Consider the following 19,284-nt stretch of genomic DNA (forward strand, 5'->3'; position numbering starts at 1 on the left):
TCCCAGCATTTGGAGCTCCTCCTAAATATTACATCCTGGGGAAGCCTTTCTTGGGCCCCCGGACTGGACGCGACCTGTGACATGCGACCCCCGGACTGGACACGACCCTTCTGTGACACCCTTTGCAAGCTCTGCGATGTCTCCTTCACTGTGCCCACTGCAGCTCATGACAAACATGTGTTTATTGGATTCATGGTGGCTTCCCTCACTGATTATTAACCCCAGGAAGGCAGAAACCGGTCTACATATATCAACAATGAGCTCAGAGATTGCAGCCCAGAAGTCATCATTTAATGGAGGACTGACTGCAGCCCACAGGGGGCTGGAGGGAACATTCAGACCCACCTGCCATCGCCATGCATGGATGTAAGGGTTTTGGAAGGCTGCTTGGAAGAGGCTGCTTGGGAGATGTTGGAAAGGTAGAGAAGAGTTCATAAAGAGGTCCTAGTGGCCTGGGTATTAAAGGGTGAGGAAGAGTTTGTTAGGCTGGAGGAGGGAATTCCCATTAGAGGAGATGGTAGAAGCACTGGAGGGGGCTGGTGGAGGACCGCAGCAGGGGCTCTCTACTGCATGCCCACGTGCCAGGCACAATGGCCATGCAAGCTCACGTGATCCTCAGAGGTAGATAGGTAGATAGAGGGTATTAGTCTCTAGCTTAGCCGCTGGAGGTAGATATTATGATCCTCTCTCAATAAATGAAGCGGCTAAGGCTCAGAAAGGTTTAGTGATATGCCCAGGTCACCTGGCCACTCGGTGGCTTTCCTGGCAGTGTCACTTCCCCAGTGTCATATGTTGCGCACCTGAGACCGTAGCTAAGGGTTTCTGTGTCTTTCTATACCCACCCCTCAGGCTGGGGCAGGGGAAATGATGTCGGCAAAGGGCTCGGCCGGGATTCCCAGCCTTTTTCCCACGTCTGTGTCCCTGTGCGGGGTCTCAACCTTCTCCCTCACCCCCACCCTCTCGAAAAGGGGCTGCGCACCCTGGGCTCCTGGGCTCAGCCCTCACCACCGTCCACTTGCCCTGCCCCTCCCCCATCACCCGCAGGCAGCCTTCTCCACCAGCCTTTGGGGACTCTTGCCTTCCTGCCCCAAACCAGAAGATGGGGCACTTGCTGCATGTGGCTAACCCTGAGGCCACGAGAAAGCCACGTCACCTCTCTGAGCCTCAGTTTCCATGTCTGTTATAGGGACGCCCACTCTGGCTGCTCTGAGAGCACCTGTGACCAGAACACAAAGGACACCATGAGCTGCAAACTGCTAAACACGCCCGGGAAATGATAAGTAGTGCCAGTCGAGGCTCCTCAGTGCCAAGCCAGCCAGTATCCTCTCCTCTCCAAACACCGAAAGCCCTGGGAATTCCCTGGAGGAGAGGAAGGAACCAGATGCCTGAAATGAGCTTGCCCCAGGCCGGGAAGCTGTGCGCGGCCCTGCGAGCACCTGGTGCCCTCTAGTGGCCACAGGCGGCCCTGCAGGGCCACATTTTCTGGGGAGGGCGCAGAGACCCCACTCACTCTTCAATTGAACTTGCTAACAGGTTTAAACTGCAGGATCTGCCTTTGACAACAAGATAAGGAGGGGACAGGGGAGGGAGGGTGCCAGGATGTTCTTTTTGTGCCAGAAATGGACAAAGCTGGCGGCTACTAATAGACTTCGTCCTTCTAATGCTGCCCGAGGGGCTGGACTGGCCCCGTCCCTGTTTCCCCATCCGCCTGGATTCCTGGCTGAGCCCAGAGCTCCCACGTGGACACTCTGGGGCGGATCATTGGCCAAGGACTCACAGAGTTGGGACCGACTTTGTTAAAGCACTGAACTAGCTTCCTTGGAGCCCCAAAGGGAGGGGCGGGACCTTCACTTCAGAAATAAGAAGACAGACTCAGAGAGGGTTTGTGGCTTTCCCAAAGATACCTCATTCCAGGATTTGAACCCCAGTCTCTCACTCGAGACCCCAGGTACTTGCTGTGGCCCATACCTTCCCCAAATTATCCACCAACAGCCAGTCAACCTGGGGCAGGGCTGTGGGGGAGAAACATTTGTTTACTAAATCACAGAGTCCCTCTGCCCGCTGGAGGGGAGAGGAGAATGCCACCAAGTGGGCGGGGGTGGGGCATTGCATCCCAGCATTTGAATGGGCAGGGAGGAAATGGGGCACAGGACTTCTAGAACTTGCAGTTTTGCTCATTCGGGCTGTCTAGGGAGGTGGTGACAGGGAGAGACTAAACTGAAATGTGCCTGTGACTTCCATCTCAGGAAGATGGAACATGTTCAACCCCAAGCCATGTTCGGGGTCTGTGGCAAGCAGGAATTCTCCTTTATTTTCCAATAGGGTTAACAATCTTTCCCAGGAAGAGCACGGAAGGTATTTTCTCGCTGTAAATCAGCAGCAGATAGGGTTTGTCTATCTTGACGACGAGTGGTGTCTCCATGGGCAGAGTCTGTGCTCCGGTGCCAGCGGCCCCTTCCGTACCCCTCTCATCCATCTTCAGCTCAGCCTTGTGCACAGCCTACGGAAGCCAAGGGCAAAGTCAAGGTCTGCCAAGCTCCTTGGCGACCACAGTGGGCCGGAGGCCCAGAGAGGATCAGAGAGGAAGACCACTTGGCCCAAGCCATCCAGCACAGCAGTAACTTGGTTTACTCCAGGGTTCCTGGCTCTTTCGCCATTAATGCTGGAGAATATTCGACAAGCAGATGCCGTGTGAAGGAAAAGATGGTGCAGGGGGAGCATCAGTTACGGGAGTCGGTGGGGGGAGAGATGGAGTGGGGTTTGCTTCTCTTTCTCATGGGTTACAGGGAAGCATCAACCATAGCCGTGGCAGAAAGGTCTACTGGGCTGTAGCTGGGTGAAAGTGAGGTGGTGGTACCCCCACCCTGAAGCCTCCAGCACCTCCTTTCATCCACCTGGTGGATGGTTAAGAGGGAGAAGGATTCTGGATTAGCTCTTTGAGATGACTTGCATCCCAAATCCACTCCAAAGGCATCAACGTCTGTAAACAGGTGATCAGTACTGGGAAACTAACGGGCATGTGTGAAATCCTGGCACATTTCTTGCTAGCCTACAAAATTCTCACAATTTTACTTGCAGAAAACAGGACAGTATCCTGTGTTACAATCACAGCTATCAGCAAACGTAACTACAGAAAGAAATGAGCCATTAAACTCAACAAGACCTTCAGAGCTGGTGTTAAATGTTTGTGGGAAGTCTGTGGCAGGAAAGCTCAAAAGTGAGAAAATTCTAGTAACTATGTTTCTTATGTCAACGTGAAAAATACAGTGGAATCTGTGCCATCTGATTCAGAGCAGCGGGCTCAGCTTGGCAAGCTGGATCCTTCCCAGACTGGCTTGAACCTCCCACTTTATCTCCACTAAGCACCCAATCCCCACCACCCACTACTCCATGATATCCAAAAACCCCCAGCCTTGGCCACACTGCTGCACCCATCCCCGCACCCATCTCTGCTTGTTGAAATCTTTCCCCTCCTTCAATGCCTTTTTAACCCCAAAGTAGGGTTGCCAGGTGAAATACAGGACATCCACTGAAATTTGAATTCAAGATAAACAATGAATATGTTTTAGTGTAAGTGTGTCCCGTGAAATATTCTGAACATACTGGCACTAAAAATATTATTCATCATTTATCTAAAATTCAAATTTAATTGGGTATCCTGTATGAAATCTGCTAAATCCGGTGACTCTACCTATATGGTGCTCTCTTCTTGCCCCAGACAGTCAGGTGCTCACCTTTGCCAGGGGCCACAGGCCCCTTTGCTTGGTCATCTCTTCCTATGCAGCATATGCTTATGCCAACTCATATGAAACATGTGGCCTTGGGCGCGGTGGCTCACGCCTGTAATCCCAGCACTTTGGGAGGCCAAGGTGGGTGGATGACCTGAGGTCAGGAGTTTGAGACCAGCCTGGCCAACATGGTGAAACCCTGTCTCTACTAAAAATACAAAAAAATTAGCCGGGCATGGTGGCGGGCGCCTGTAATCCCAGCTACTCGGGAGGCTGAGGCAGGAGAATTGCTTGAACCTGGGAGGTGGAGGTTGCAGTGAGCTGAGATCGCACCACTGTACTCCAGCCTGGGTGACAGTGCAAGACTCCTTCAAAAAACAAAATAAAAGAAAGAAAGGAAGGAAGGAAGGAAGAGAGAGAGAGAGAGAGAAAGAAAGAAAGAAAGAAAAAAAGAGAGAGAGAGACAGAGAAAGAAAAAGAAAGAAAGAGAGAAAGAGAGAGAGAAAGAGGAAAGAAAGAGAGAGAGAAAGAGAGAAAGAAAGAGAAAGAAAGAAAGAAAAGAAAGAAAGAAAGACGGATGTGGCCTTTGAGAGAGGGTCTGGGTTAGACCTAGACCAGTTCTAGGCCTGATAACTGTTCCAGGCCTTGATCAACGTTTGCTACATTGAATTGATTTCCAAAATAGCAGCAGTTTTAAAGACTGGAAGCATGAGGCTGGGGGAGGTTATGTGGTTTGCCCAGGATCACGGGGTTGGTAAGGGGCACAGCTGCATTCATGCCCGCCCCGACTGGTGGGTGGAGTCTCGGCTCTGACAGCCACTGTGACCCTGGCTCTGGCCCCGGCTGGGGGAAGGCCCCTGTGCTGCAGGGAGTGGAGTCCAGGCTAGGCAGGCTTACCTCGCCCACTTTCAGGCTGCGATGAGGGGCGATCTTGGTGAGATCACCATGTTCCTCAAAGATTTTGGAGACACCTATGTAGGAGAGAGTCTTCTTCAGGTCGAAGGTGCCCGTCATGTGGAGTCTGGGTACAGACACGTCTACGACCCTGGGGAATTGACACGACAAGGGTGAGTGGTCAAGTCCTGTTGTGTTGCAGGGCAAGCCTCAGGATACATGACCAATGAAACATGTGTCCTCCCAGCCCCAAAGGTCTCCAATCTCTCTCCATCCACAGAATGAGGAGGGGCTCCTTAACCCTGGGACCCTGGTTTCAAAACACCATAAGCTCTCTGAACCGTGTCCCTGCCTCCCAGCACACCTGCCCCAGAGCCCTCTACAGGGAGTGTTCTCAAGTCTCAAGTTCCCCCGTCTCAGAGCCCCTTCAGCCACAGTCACTGATGATGTCCACACTGTAGTCGCTGCCATGCCTGAGCCCTGAGCCCATCCTGACCCCAGAAGACCTGACACTGGAGGGAACAAGGCACCCAGAATCTGGAGGTAGACAGAACTGAGTTCAAATCCACTCTGCCTCTCATGAGCTCTGTGACCTTCCCTCTCTAAGTCACTTGTGTGAGAAGGAAAATGATCACCGTCGCTCCTGCGGGACACTAGGGGTGCTAAGGCAAATGCAGACAAGGCACTCAGCAGACAGTTGGTGCGTAGCAGGTGCCCATCCTCCTGCCCTCCAACTAGCAGCTTCACATCCTCTGTGGCTGAACCGCGATCAGCCTCCTGCCCGGAGCCTGGGGCCCAGGCTCTCCTGAGGTACCTGCAGACCCTGGATTCCCGTTCACCTGGCCTTGCACCCTATTTTCCCACCTACCCAAGGATCTCATTCCTGCCTATGTGTCCTCTCTCTCCTGCATCATCCTTAAACAGTGCCCCTTTGATCCTCCTCTGGAGGAGGCCTCATGCTAGAGTGACCCTATCCTCAAAAACTAACACCAAGAGATCTCTCTTGGCCCTGAATAGCCTCTCCAGCTTCCAGCTCATTTCTTTTCTTCCTTTTATAGCAGCTATCTCCACTCCCTCCCACAATTGCCTCAGTCCACTCCAGTCGGCTCTTTGACCTCAACTTTTTATGGAAGCAACTCTTTCCAGAGTCACCGTTGACAACCAGCCCCACGTCCCAGAGCCAGCTCTCAGTGAGCCGCACGTGATGGTAATCCCTTTCTCCAAGGTGAAGCATTCCAGGTCCACCCCTTGAGGCTTCTCCTCCTTCCCCACCACTCCTGCCCCTGTCGGGCTCCACCCCTCCCATCTCTACCGGTGACACTGCTGCTTCCAGGCTCAGACCTTGGTCCCCTTCTCTTTTCCACCTTCACTCCATCCCCATACATGTCATTCAGTCTCACAGCTTTGAATATCATCAACAGGCCCAACGACTCCCAAATTTACCTTTCCACTCATTCATTCACTCAACAAACATTTATTAAATCTCTACTGTATACCAGGTGCTGTTCTAGGTGCTGGAGATGCATCTATGAACAGAGCAGGCAAAGATCCCTGCCCCTGACTGTGTGTTCTAGCAGGGAAGACAGGTGATAGAATCAACACAACAAAAAGTACCACTTAAGCCTACATACATGTACTAGCGGTATGCAGAAGGCAGTAAGTGCTATGGAAAAAAATAAATAGATTGACTTGCAGGAATCGAGGATTGGTCCAAAGTTTGAGCAAACCTTGAGGCAGGCAAGAGAGTTAGACAAATTGGGGTTTTTTTTCCTGAATAAAATGGGGAGTCACTGTCGGGTTTTGAACAGAGGAGTGACATAGTCTTGCTTAGGATTTAAAAGGATCATTCTGTTGCCTCTGTTAAGAATATACTCTTGGTGGTGGTGGTGTGTGTAGTGGGGATGGGCAAAAATTGATGCTGGGAGACCATTTGGAAGCTAGTGTGGTAGTCACATGTTGGGAGCCACAGAGACGGCGGAAAGATACCAAATTCCAGATGTGGTTTGCTGTAGGCTAAAGGAGTTTCCTGACAGACTGAATGAGGCATTTGAGGGTGGTCAGGGTGACTCCAAGGTTTTTGGCTTGAGCAACTAAAAAGATGGAGTCACCACTGATTGAGATGGGCAGGCTTGGGGAGGTTCTCTGGGGACAGATCAGGAAGTCATTCTGGATGTGTTGACACTAAGCTCCAATTACACATCCTGGGGACATTCTGGGTAAACAGAAAGATCCACGACTCTGGAATTTGGGGGAGAACAGGGGCTGGGGATGGAAGCATGGCAGTCGTGGTAATAGAGATGGTGTTTAAAGCTCTTAGCCTGTGAGCTCACTCAGGGGTAAGTATAGACAGAAAAGAAGGCTGGGAACTGAGCCCTGAGACACTCACCTCTGAGACCTGGAGGAGGAGAGGGGTCTCCAGCAAAGGAGATTGAGGAGGGGAGAGGTGGGAGGTGATGTGAGAGTGGAGAGCTGGAAGCCAAATGAAGAGTGCCTTAAGGAGGTGGGGACAGAAACCAGCCGAAGAGCGAGGCCTGAGACTGACTGCACTCTGCAACACAGACACCCTTGGGACCCTGGGAAGGGAGCTTTCTGTGAGAAGTGGGTGCAGAAGCTGGACTGGAGTGGATTTAGGAGAGGATGAGAGGAACTAGGGGCTGTGAACAGAGGCAACTGCTTCATGGTATTCACCTGCAAAGGGGGAGTGACGAAATGGAGGAATAACTGGGGGAAAGCAGAGGTCAAGAGAAGCTTTTATGTTGGGAAAAATAATAGCATTGAGATTTCCTGCAGGCCAGCACAAGCCATACAGGCCTGCCTGCACAGAAGGCAGACACCTGCTTTGTCTTCTTGCATAGAAGCCACTTCTATGAGCTGTAAGTTTTCCCTGGCCCCCTGCGAGGTTTCATGATAGGAAAGATAAGGGCATCTTTGTATCTGATGGAAATGATTCAGAAGAGAGAAAAACATATGCTGATGTAGGAAAGTGAGGAGAGGATTTCTAGGGTGATGTTCCTGAGTAGCAGGGGGCCGTAGGTCCAGTGCGTAAATGAGGAGATCGGCTTTAGTTTGTGCCAACGTGGGAAGGCACTAAGTGCAGCTGTGCTGACAGGTGAGTGCATATACCAATATGTACGGAAATGTGTGGGGGGCACCCAGGCTGGGAGTGGACCCTCGACACTTCTGAACAGGACAATGGCTATTTCAAAGCCACCAGCAGTTTTCTGCTCCTAAAGGTGGACCCTGGGAAACAGAGCTTTTCCTCTGGGGAAATCAGAGCAGCACCTGGCCTCAAATTATGCAAATCCAAAGCAGGTGTCTGCCTCCTGCACAGAGGCCAGGTGGAAGTCATCCGAAGCCTAAATTCTGACATGTTCTACACACATGTAAGTTGGTGTGTGTCTGTTGACTTGGTTACTTCTTTTAGGGAAAAGGTGATTTTTCTGCTCAGTGTCTTCTAGGCCCTCCAGTCTGGAGAGGACTGCAGAAAGAATGCATAGGGATAGCCCGTCCACCTCTGCTCTCCCATAGCGGGCCACTGAGCTCTCTGGACTAGGCTTCCCACCTGTAGATCAAAGCAACTTGACCACTTATCTCCCAGAAATAATGAGCTCAGAAGGTAGGAATGTTTGTTCCTATCATGTTCTAATGAAATGTAATTCCCTGGGGACGGTGAGCAAGCCCCCTGTCCTGCAAGAGGATTTGGAGTTTCTTCTCGGGAAGGTGGACAATACCCTGTCTGTCATTCCAAGGCCAGAAGTGACTGGGTAGGCAAGACATCCCTGGGGTGAGAGGAACCTTCCTTTCTATGGCCCTCCTGGTGGGGAGGCCTGGCCTCAAGTCAAGGAGATGCGGAAAGCAGTCCCAGAGGGATGGGGGAGGCAGACCAGGCACTAGAAAAATGGAAGGAGGTGCCCTGGAAGAGATGCTGAGAGCAGCCTACACTTGGACTTCACAAGACGCCACTGAGAGCAGCCTGCACTTTACACCTGGACTCCACAAGACACCACTGAGAGCAGCCTACACTCTACACTTGGACTTCACGAGACGCCACTGAGAGCAGCTTACACTTGGACTTCACAAGACGCCGCTTCTGTGCGCTGTAAGTTATCCTGGGTCCCTGTGAGGAGCTTTGGTTCTGTTATTCCCAAACCTCCAGGAAGTCTGGCACTAGCCTACAGAAAATCTCAAAGGTTCTATTTCACTCTTGTGTAAAGGTGCAAAAGGAGATGAAGCCTGAAGCCAGAGAGATGGTGGCAGTGCCCAGGGAACATCTGTGTGGTTGGTGGTGGCCTGATGGTGGTCACAGCACCAGGGGCTGCAGAGGGCCTCAGTGAGGGGAATGTGAAGCCCCCAGTGTAGCACCTGAGCTGTAGCCCCATGGAGAAATTGTCAGACATGGCTTGGAGATAGGGGTGGAGTGCACTCAGGACAGTGAGTTCCAGCAAATCAACTGCAGAGTCTCAAGCCACTGTAATTTGAGTCCTACGGGAAATGTCATATTCTGGAGTCCATGTCTCACAAAGCCAGACTTCTGGATGAAGTGGGGTGGAAGACCTGGCATCCCTCCCATTTCTTACCTTCTCTTCATGTTCTACACCCCCCAGTTCCCTAGGGAGATCTCTCAAGACATCTCTGTGAACTCTAAAAATCTGTAGAGTGCAGGCTGAAACACGTCAGTCCCTTTGGGGATGTCCCCATGTTGAGACAACATGGGGGAACCCGTGGGTGGTAACTGAACTGAACTGATGTGACTCCTTTCACACGGAACATGGCTTGGAGGCATTGCAGAATGCATCTCTGATATCTAGAGTGAGCTGCAGGCTTGAGAAAGGAAAATTCTGGTTCTGAATGCTTTCAATAAAGTCACATTTATGGAAGGGGGGAGCTAAGTGACAGGGCATTCCAAGAGCGCTGCCATCCCTCGAGATCTGCACAGCCTCACCCGCCCCTCCCACTGGGAACATCTTCTGCAGTGGAAGAGCAGCCACCCTAGGGCTTCAACCTGAGGGTAAGAGGGTCAGATTTGCAGGACACCTGTCATTCAATAAACCAGAAGTTCAAAAGTTCTGCTGAGAACCTTGGAGCTCTGCCTCTTTAGACAATGGGAAGGAAAGAGGAATTTGCATTTGGATATGTTTTCTGTGGGGCAATGCTGTGCTAAGGCACATTTAATTCTCTCAAGAGTACTGTGGTGTTGGCGATATTATGGCCACACACCATAGATGAGAAGACCAGGTCTCAGCTAAAGGTTGTAACCTGGACCCCTCCTTTTGTTTCAGTGGCCAGACTCTGCCAACCCTTCCACCTCCCTGGTTCCCAGTGGGAAGGGCAGGTGAGACTATGCAGATCTCAAGGGATGGCAACGCTCTTGGGATGCTCTGCTACTTGGCTCCTCCATCCCAGTACCATGACTTAATTGGAAGCATTCGGAATCAGAATTTCCCTTTCTTTTTTTTTTTTTTTTTTTTTTGAGATGGAGTCTCGCTCTGTCGCCCAGGCTGGAGTGCAGTGGCGGGATCTCGGCTCACTGCAAGCTCCGCCTCCCGGGTTCATGCCATTCTCCTGCCTCAGCCTCCCAAGTAGCTGGGACTACAGGCGCCCGCCACTACGCCCGGCTAATTTTTTGTATTTTTAGTAGAGACAGGGTTTCACCGTTTTAGCCGGGATGGTCTCGATCTCCTGACCTCGTGATCCGCCCGCCTCGGCCTCCCAAAGTGCTGGGATTACAGGCGTGAGCCACCGCGCCCGGCCAGAATTTCCCTTTCTTAAGTCTGCAGCTCACTCTAGATATAAGAGATGCATTCTGGAATGCCTCCAAGACAGTGTTCTGCATGAAAAGAGTTGCATCAGTTCAGTTACCACCCATGGGTTACTAAGCTCAGTCCTAGCATCATCTGTACCTCTCTTGGTACCGTCCTTGGTGCCTGACAGGACGTTAGGTGTGGCAGAGGTTCTTAGTAAATACCTTTATGGAGATGCATGGGGAATGATGACAGGGACAAGGTGGAAGAGGGAAAGAGAACAGAGAAGAGGACATCTGACACCTGTCCAAGTGGAAACTGCCCACTCTGCTACATCCCCTTCACTGCTCTGGCTACTAGAGGCCACTAGCCCAGCCACTTTCAAGGCACTATGTATGTCCACGCTGACACTAAGTCCCCAAGACTTAAACCCAACACCAACTCTTACCTTTTCCCCCAAAATCTATCAGTAAGCAAGTGCCTGGGAGGAATTCTGTAGGCTTAGCATTAATCTAATATCAGTTTATGTTTTAAAAAGAAAAATATTTACTCTCTTTTATTCTTCAACTATTATTTGTATAACTTACTTTGGATACTTCATGGGTTTTGTTGTGACACCACAGTTGACAACATCATTCTACTCACAACTCACAGCTCTCTTTTACAGCCCGTGTTTGTCCTTGCAGTTTCCTTTGCTCCTCACCCTTTCATACAGACTGCCACTCACCCTTGAAGACTTGGCTCAAATGCTATCTCCTCTATGAAGTCCTCCCTGACCACCGCCCTCCAGTAAGACTCCATCTACTGCGCCCTCACAGTCTTGATGAATCTCCCTCAAAGAGCCAGGCACTTCACTCTATTCCTATGATTTGTTCCCCAGTCTAATTCTCACCATGATATAAGTTTATTATAGAGCCCAGAAGAGGACTTGGCCATGAGGTAAGAGCTCAGACAGCAGAAATAAGAGGGAAGACAAGAGAAGGAAAAAGCTGCGAGGGCTAGGCACCCACTTTACCTGCGTGACAGTAATGTTTTCCATCTGGAGAAAGTGTCCACCTGCAATCCCTTCTCCAAGTGCTTCAGCTTGCCCTCATCAGGAAGGATGAAGATGGCTGTGATATTTTTCTGGTAGGGTATTTCCAGGATGGTGCAAGAGAGCTTATCGTCATAGCCAACTTGGTATATGCCACTACGGAACATCATGGGCACCTTGACTGAACTGTTTTTCTCCAGAAAGAAATCTTCCTCTTTAGTTACATTTGGATCAAACTCATGTTTCCACCTGGCTTAGATTGAAGAAAGACAAACAGACATGTTATCCCAAGGGAAAAAAGGTGACTAAATCCAACTAACCAGTAGTCTCTCTCCACACAGATTCAGGGTGAAAGGGGATATTCCGGGATATCAGGGAAGTCCTTGCCCTCATGCCATGTCCTGGAGATTTCTGATGATATGGGCTCAGGTGCAATTATTAGTTCCCAAAGAAGCCAGGACTAGACTGCCAAATTAAGAGGGGAAAAGAAGACTACCATAAGCTCAGGTTCCCCTAAGCCTGAGAAAGCCCACTGATTATGTCCTAACAGAGGGGACTGCATTACAATTAATGAGGGCTAATTGAGTCTGATGTGAGTAGACTCTTCTTTAGCCATCAATCTGCCTGTGGATTTTGAGAACCCTCAATTTTTTATATTTAGTACCATGTTCCTGACACTCCAGCAGTGATTTTGTCTGGACTGATGGGTGTTGGCCTCTGATTCTCACCTATTTTGGCCAACCTGTTTGTGTACATGTGTTCTGTGTGGTGTTGGGGGATAAAGTTGAAATTGGAAACATTCTTCCATCTTTTTTTTCTGTCTCTCTCCATCAGATCTGGGAAATATATAAAGTCTGATAAGGAGAATTTATATAATACATACATAAGGAGACCCACCAAGTGATCACCATCACCATAATCAACACAATCACCATCTCAGGTGTCTGCTTAAAGTGCTGGAAAGCACACAGTGCTAGGGCCAGGAGAAATGTGTTCCAGTCCTGACTGTCAATGATGGGCTTTGTAACTTGGAGTAAGTCAGTTAATCTCACTCTGATTTTTTTTTCTCATCTAAGTGATGGGAACAAAATGTCATTCCAACCTCTATAACCAATGTTGTGTTAGGATAATCACCAATAATGAAAATGATAGACTTCATAAAGCTCATTTCACATACATTTTCACTTTAAATCTCAATAACTGTATGAGTTATGTATCATGGTAACCATTTTACAGATAGGAAAAGTGAGGTTTTGAGAGATAAATCACATATGAATTCAAGGTCACAGAGTAAACAAGTGGCCAACCCAGGTTTTTAACCCAAGTCTAGTGGTCATCCTATTCTTTCCACACCAACATGCCAAAAGCCTTACCTCGAAAGAAAATATAATTTGCAAGAAGCATCACAGTGCCGGGGTCTATATTCTCGATCAGGTTGTTAATTTTCCCATGGGTTTTTTGACTGATAAAGTCATTGATCTGCTTCTGAGCCATTTCCAAATTCTGAAAGTTGGTAAGGATGGTTTCGGCACTGTAAAAGTTCTTGGCATCTTCCAAAAACTTACGCTGTGGCTGCAGCCTCTGGTCAATGAACAGCGTGTTCCCAATGCTCAGTTTGAGGTCCTGGGTCTTCTGGGTCAGCTCGTGGATGATGTAATGGAAGCCCTCATGAAGATCTTTTTCTGGCATCTTTCTGAAGTTGAACCCCTGCTTGATCTCGTCCAGGGTGCTGTCCTGGGCACCCAGGCACAGCATGGAGAAAGCTGTAGAGATGCTCAAGGGGGATAGGAAGATGTTCCTGCCAGGGTTGTAAAAGGCCAGCTTCTTGAGCAGCTTAAAGCCTAAGTCCATGTTCTGCCTTGCAAGCTCCTTGGCTGCCATCCTTTGCTTCCATCCTTGGACCTCGCTCAAAGCTTTATAATTCCTTGGTGAGAAGCTCGGCTTTAGAAGACCTTTCACCGTGAGGAGAACAGCCAGAAAAATGGCCAGGCCTAGTGTGGGGTTCATTTTCCTTGAAGAATATCCTGTTGAGTAGTAGACCTGAGGTCAGCAGAAAAAAAGAACATGATAACCCCATTGCCTACATGTTACCCAGAGGAAGACCAGATGAAAGAAGAAATACAGTGACTATTATGTGTTGTACATAGCAGTTTATGAGTGCTTTGACCCCTTTATAGCATTTAAACTTTATAATCACCCTGGGGACTAGAAATGACTTCTACACTTTGTAAATAGGAGGACTGAATGTAGAAGACAACTCTTGTTTTTGTACCCTCTTTATGGAAACAGTGTCTCAATTCCTTTGAGGAACAGCTCTCCTTCCCTCCATTGGACCACAGTGAGGATACCCCGTAGTGTAGGCATATGGCCCAGACCTACCATCATAATACTTCATTCCTTTGCCACACTGGCTGGTTAAAGATGAGAGTGTGGACCAAAATCAGACCTCTCAGTGTCTTTCTAAGGGAATGCAAAACCCCCTAAGCTTTGGGGCAGCTAGCTTTGTGAAGTAGCCCTGGAGCTGAATGTGGCCATGGTTTCCACATGTAGAAGGAGAGGAGAGTGATAGAGGGAGGTGGAAAGACAGAAATGGACTGACACATCTGATGACATCTTTGGAGACCCTGGACTAACCTTTAACTCAGTTTGCTACCCACTTCCATGTTTCCAAGTTATGAAAGCCAATAAATTTCCCTTTTAGAGTTGGCTGGTTTGAGGTAAATTTTTCCCCTTCAGCCAAAAGAATTATGACTAATTTACAGAGATCAAGCTCTTTGTTTAAGCTCATATGTTCTCTAGGTGGTGGATACTCATTCCAGGAGGACTTAGATCTCCAGGAAACCTTCTTCCCTACACCCTTCCCAGGGAGGGAAGAGGATGGCACCATGGGAGAGGAACAGCCAGGTCTGCCTGGCTCTGGACTGCTGCTCCTTTCATCCACCTCTCAGCTTTGACATCTTCCAACGGCCACTGTGAGCTTCTGGGAGACAAGACTTTTAGCTACGTTTTCCCTTAATCTCCAGCCCTAATTCTGCAGAGAGATGCTAAAAGCATGTTGGCCTAAAAAGCTTATTGATTTCTCTGGTTGGACATACTACTGTCAGTGATGGTCACACCCATTTATATGTAAAACGAAGGCAGATTTCTTTGCTTGGTCATCTGTTATATCATTTAGTCTGCTTTCTTCCTGTAATTTATATCTTACATGTCTGTAATCTGTGGGTAATAGTCAGCCTGTCCACAGTAAAGGTTTTTCATGGTTGTCTTAGATTGGGTTCCCTAGAAGCAGAACCTGAGATGGGGATTTAGGTGCATGTTATGTATTGAGGCAGTTGTCTTCCCTGTAGGGAAGTGAGGGAAGTGGGATGGAAAAGGGAAGGAGCCAAGGTGACATCTAGCCTTGGCCTGGTCCACAGTGGGAGGGCTCTCCAGGCTGGCCTTTTGGATAGAATCGGTCAGTTGGTGGCTGTGATCTGTCCTCTGGATGCAGGTCATGGTGCATAACTGGGTCAGTTAGGTCTTATCAGCCAAGGACAATTTTCTGGAGAGGGGAGGGCAGTTGTGAGCTGTCAGCAGGCAACCCTCACAGCAGCACCAGCAAAAGGGAACTGGGTCAGCCACCAACGGGGTCTGCACAGCTAAACTCCCATGCCTGGCTCTTTCTGGTTGGCTGAATAAGCAGATGAATGAACACCAGGCAGGGCCTGTACCTAGGAGTGTCCCCAGTTCCCAGGTTCTTCATGTCCAAATCCTTCTACGCCAAGCACTGTGGATAGAGCCTTGATCACAACAAAGGTCTTCAAGGAGTTTGTAGTATAGTATTGGAAAATTCTAGTGAATACTGCTCATTGCTCCTTCAGCATCCATTCTCCCAGCTTCCCAATAGATCCTCTTCTTCTTTCTTCTCCTCTTCCCCTCCTCGCCTTCTTCTCCTCTTATCCTCTTCTCCTCATCTTCTCTTTCTTTTTCTTCTTTTCAATAATATACTCTTCTCTCAGGCAGCCCATGTGCCTCAGGGACACAAGCCCCTCCCAGCTCCAAGGGAGGGCCTGATTGGTGCAGGGGCATCTCAACTCTCCTGCTACTGGTTGGTTCAGGAGCCAGACCTAATCCAATCAGTGCAGGCGGGAATTTCTGCCCTGATCCTTGTTTAGGGAGGGGCATGTGGCTTAAGGGGTGCAATGAGGGAGGATTTCAAGACTGTTTGTTGGAATGTTGGGGTGCTGGCCTGTCTCTTTCCTGGGATGTCCTGGGCAGGAAGGCACGGCAGGCAGGGACTAACAGCAACTTTGCCCCGTGAGGGAAGTGACTCTAAGACAAAGCCATAGCACAAAGAGGATGCATCCAAGGGCTCTTAAGAGAAACCGGGGCTGGGTCCATGGAAAAAGCTGAACCCAGAGCCCACCTTGCCTCTGGACCCCCAGTGACGTTGAGTTACATGGTCACTTCCTTGAAGCCAAAAACATCCTCACAAATACGGGCAGATACATATTTTTTAAAACGCCAGGACTACTAAGTAGGCAGGAGTTCTGTGCTCTGCTCTCATGCCTTCGTAGCTGTGTGACATTCCAGAAAGCACTTCCCTCTCTGAACCTGGGTGCTCTCTAAGCACCTTCTACCCCCAAAAACCACTTCTTGGTAAAACTTAATAACAGCTGGTGATGAACAAGGGCTCTATGGGCTGCTGAAAACAGATTGTAGAAGAGAAATTAGTAAAATTCCCAAGAATGCTTCAGATAAACAAAAGAAAATAGGAAGGAGTCCATTTCAGGGTTTAGGGGGCTGCACTGTTTACAAAGGCTGCCTGGATTAAAAATAGAAGCTTCTGCTATTCAGAGTGGGCGCAAGTTCCCAGTGCCTAGGAGTGGAGAAGTTAAGACATGTCCCTTGAGCTGAGAAAACATTCTCAGCAGCGGTGAAACCAGCAGCCTGGCAGGAGCCTTGGAGGAGGCCGGGCAGGGCAGGGCTGGAGCAGGGAAGGAACCCACAGAAAGCACCATCCTGGGAACACTCTGTGGCACGCACAGCTTTACAGTGATGTTCAGTCACTGATCCCTAAACATTGTCAAGTTTCAGAAACAAGAACGGATTATGGAATTCCAGGTCTGGATAGCGGTCCTCCCCAACTTGTGTGTTTGTTAGGTGTTTTGATGCAAGTCTCTTCACCCTTCAGGCTTTCAGTATCTTCATCTATTAAATGAGGGGGAGGTGGTGATAATTTGGTTTCTTCCCCCATGAGATACTGCTGATCAGGTGGCACTGCCACCACCTCCCCGCCCCCCCACCCCCGCCCCAAGGGACACAGCCCACACCCTGGCCTGGTGGGGTCTCAGCACCCTCCCACCTCAGCATGCCTGTGTCACAGCAGTCTCCACCGGGCCTCCTGCCCTGGCTCCCTGAGTGCGAACATCTGGCCTTTCTCCCCCAAACAGCCAACACCAGCCCCATTCCGGGCCTTTCCATCTGTCATCACGGGCTTTAAACTGACCCAAATTTGTCAGTTGGGTTAGATGCCTGAGTAGGCTAATTTTTTAATTCCATCAATTAAAATAGCTGAGCAACTGGTTATTTCCCAATCAATTGATAGGTTGCTCTCCTGAGTTGAGCAATTGTTTGTTGGCTTTTAGTTTGGAATGTGTGTGTGTGTGTGTGTGTGTGTGTGTATCTGTGTGTGTTTGGCTGTGACTCAAAATAAATAAAGAGATAAAACTAAAACAAAACCAAGAAAAAAAAAAGAACAAGATAGAAACCGAACCCCATGGGGTACACATGGGACACATGAAGCTATAGTCAGTATTTCAATTCTCTGATCATCCTGCTCCCATGTTCCCTATTAATTTGGAAAAATAATTTCCTCCTCTTATGACTAGATAAAATAGTGCCTCACTGACCCGGAAGTCATTCATCCTAAAGACAGATCCAAACCAGATGGGAAGCGTCCGCACAGGTAGCATAGGCGGCTTAAGTCTACACGAGAAGGGGTTTCCCTGTGGGAGGGCACTGCTTCCACCTCCCACACCGTCCCGATCAGCCAACTGAAGCAACAGTGAGCTGTGACAGCAGACTCAACAATAATAATATTTCTAATTTTACAAAGCGCTTCCCCCGTTATCACCACAGTTTGAAGAAATGATACCTAAACAGGGATAACACACACAGGCTACAGAAGGTCTACTCAGTGCACAGTGGTTTGGAACCACAGTTTTCTTTAGAGAGAACTCCCCCTGCCCCCAGGCAGGTCACTCCTCTCCTGATAGTTGACCACCCTACCTCTCTTCCCTGGGATGAAACTGACTGGCTAGAAAGAGTTGATGTAATATCCTTCCTCAAGCCAATGAGACCAAAAAGTTTAGAATGCTTTGGACAAGTTCCCATGTCTTGAGAACCAACAGAGCGAGCTTCAGGCAACCAGTGTGTTGCCTCCTCATCGGGGAGATGCTTCCTACACTTGGCTGCATGCACCAGACACCCCTTCCTGCCCCAGAAACCCCTTCCTGCCCCAGGAACCCCAGGCCCTCTGAGATGCCACCTTTCCTCAGAACCTTTTCTGAGCGCCTCTTGGAATGTGCAGCACTTGGGTAAACCCGGTGCCCTTCTTTGGGCTGAGAAATCTGAGGAATCCTTGCTAAAGGTGTGCCTTGGCCTCCCAACAGAAGACCCTCACAAGAGCCCTGCACTTGAAGAGCCACTTCAGGCCTGCTCTGTGGCTCACCTGTTTTAAAGGACTGATATTGCTTTAAGAAGAAATCACTCTATATACATCAGAAATTAAATTATTATTTTTAAAAGCACATTTAGAACTAAGTGGTGGTAAGACATATCTTCTCTCCCCTGTTAGAAGTAAGAGAAGCCCCATAAACAAACTCTGATGACCACAGCAATATACTTTCTCCTCCTTTCTGGAAAACAAAGAGTGGAGAACATGTCCCCATTCCACTTGTTAATTTGCCCTGTAGATTTCTGCCTTCATTCCTTAAGAAATATGTTTGAGTCCTCACTCTGTGTCAGGCACTGGGGCACTAGAGCAATGCCCAGGAAATGGTCCATATTGATGCTGCAGACTGACTCTCAGCCCAACAAGCCCCACAGCCTTCTCCAAACCCTCAAGAACCTTCCAGCTGTTTGCCTGACCTGGTCCTCCTCCCCTTCCGTGACTGCATTCTAGGAGGAGGGGTATGTGGGTTGGAAAGGCTGAGAGATCATTGACTTCAGGACTATCTGTGCCATAAAGAGGGAAATGAGGCCCAGAGTGGACAAAGGAAGAGATTGTGGTTGCAGTGTGCATCAGTGGTGAAGGCAATTCTGCAGAAATGCATTGAACAGGCTGCTTCGCCTCACTTTCTCCATGAACCAGTGAGTTGATGGATCCAGCCTCTATCCTCAGAGAGAGATAAAGATTCACAAACAGCTCACACACAAGGATGACTGTGGCCAGCATCATGCAGCAGGGGTGGACCCAAATTGGAGGCACCACTTATGTCCCAAGACTTCTCCCATCCCCACATTCATGAAGCTTCTCTCTCTAGAAAAGCACTGGGCAGTAGACATCCATAACACTCTGCCAAAGATGTTCAACAAATTCTTCAAGAGGGGTTTACCTGGATTTTGGAGATCCTCTAGAATTTTCCTTTCATACACCCACCTGTGGACAGTGCTACATCCTCCCTCGATCTGAAGCAAGCTTCGTGTGGAATAGACAAGAAGCACCGGATCTTTTGGAAGGGAAGGTCTCATACTCACAGTACATTCAGAAGTCCACTGAGCCAGCCAAATGCATCTGCCTTTCTTGCTTTATTATTTATACTTCCATGGCCTCTTGGAAGAGTAAGGCCAATACAATGAGCTGGCGTGTATGGGCAGGTGATGGAGGCTTTGGAAGCAATGGCCA

The 19,284-nt window shown here is 49.1% G+C and overlaps 1 protein-coding gene across 3 annotated transcripts in view, besides 3 other annotated features; it reads right to left on the reverse strand.

The window, feature by feature from the left end:
• Positions 554-1,087: an enhancer, noted in NCBI's record as "H3K4me1 hESC enhancer chr14:94951885-94952418 (GRCh37/hg19 assembly coordinates)". NCBI's record gives its function as "activates a minimal SCP1, AML or CMV promoter by ChIP-STARR-seq in naive H9 embryonic stem cells {active_cell/tissue: H9 hESC(naive)}" and the evidence as "EXISTENCE:reporter gene assay evidence [ECO:0000049][PMID:30033119]".
• Positions 1,088-1,619: an enhancer, noted in NCBI's record as "H3K4me1 hESC enhancer chr14:94952419-94952950 (GRCh37/hg19 assembly coordinates)". NCBI's record gives its function as "activates a minimal SCP1, AML or CMV promoter by ChIP-STARR-seq in naive H9 embryonic stem cells {active_cell/tissue: H9 hESC(naive)}" and the evidence as "EXISTENCE:reporter gene assay evidence [ECO:0000049][PMID:30033119]".
• Positions 1,618-1,912: an enhancer, noted in NCBI's record as "tiled region #8049; HepG2 Activating non-DNase unmatched - State 5:Enh, and K562 Activating non-DNase unmatched - State 13:Ctcf". NCBI's record gives its function as "activates a minimal TATA promoter and a strong SV40 promoter by Sharpr-MPRA in HepG2 and K562 cells {active_cell/tissue: HepG2 | K562}" and the evidence as "EXISTENCE:reporter gene assay evidence [ECO:0000049][PMID:27701403]".
• SERPINA12 (serpin family A member 12) overlaps positions 2,285-19,284 on the reverse strand; it is a 30,566-nt gene continuing 13,566 nt past the window's right edge. Inside the window, exons 1-5 of one of the 3 annotated variants that reach the window (NM_001304461.2) lie at positions 19,039-19,228; positions 12,770-13,436; positions 11,379-11,649; positions 4,626-4,773; positions 2,285-2,500 (exon numbers count right to left, since the gene is read on the reverse strand). In NM_001304461.2, the coding sequence (NP_001291390.1) occupies positions 2,309-2,500; positions 4,626-4,773; positions 11,379-11,649; positions 12,770-13,403 (1,245 nt within the window). In that variant the 5' untranslated portion in view covers positions 13,404-13,436; positions 19,039-19,228 and the 3' untranslated portion in view covers positions 2,285-2,308. Of the gene's footprint in view, positions 2,501-4,625; positions 4,774-11,378; positions 11,650-12,769; positions 13,437-19,038; positions 19,229-19,284 lie in introns of those variants that run through there. The other 2 variants (NM_173850.4, NM_001382267.1) reach the window with 2 other exon arrangements.

This window comes from Homo sapiens, chromosome 14 (genome assembly GCF_000001405.40).
Source record: "Homo sapiens chromosome 14, GRCh38.p14 Primary Assembly".
Taxonomy (NCBI): domain Eukaryota; kingdom Metazoa; phylum Chordata; class Mammalia; order Primates; family Hominidae; genus Homo; species Homo sapiens.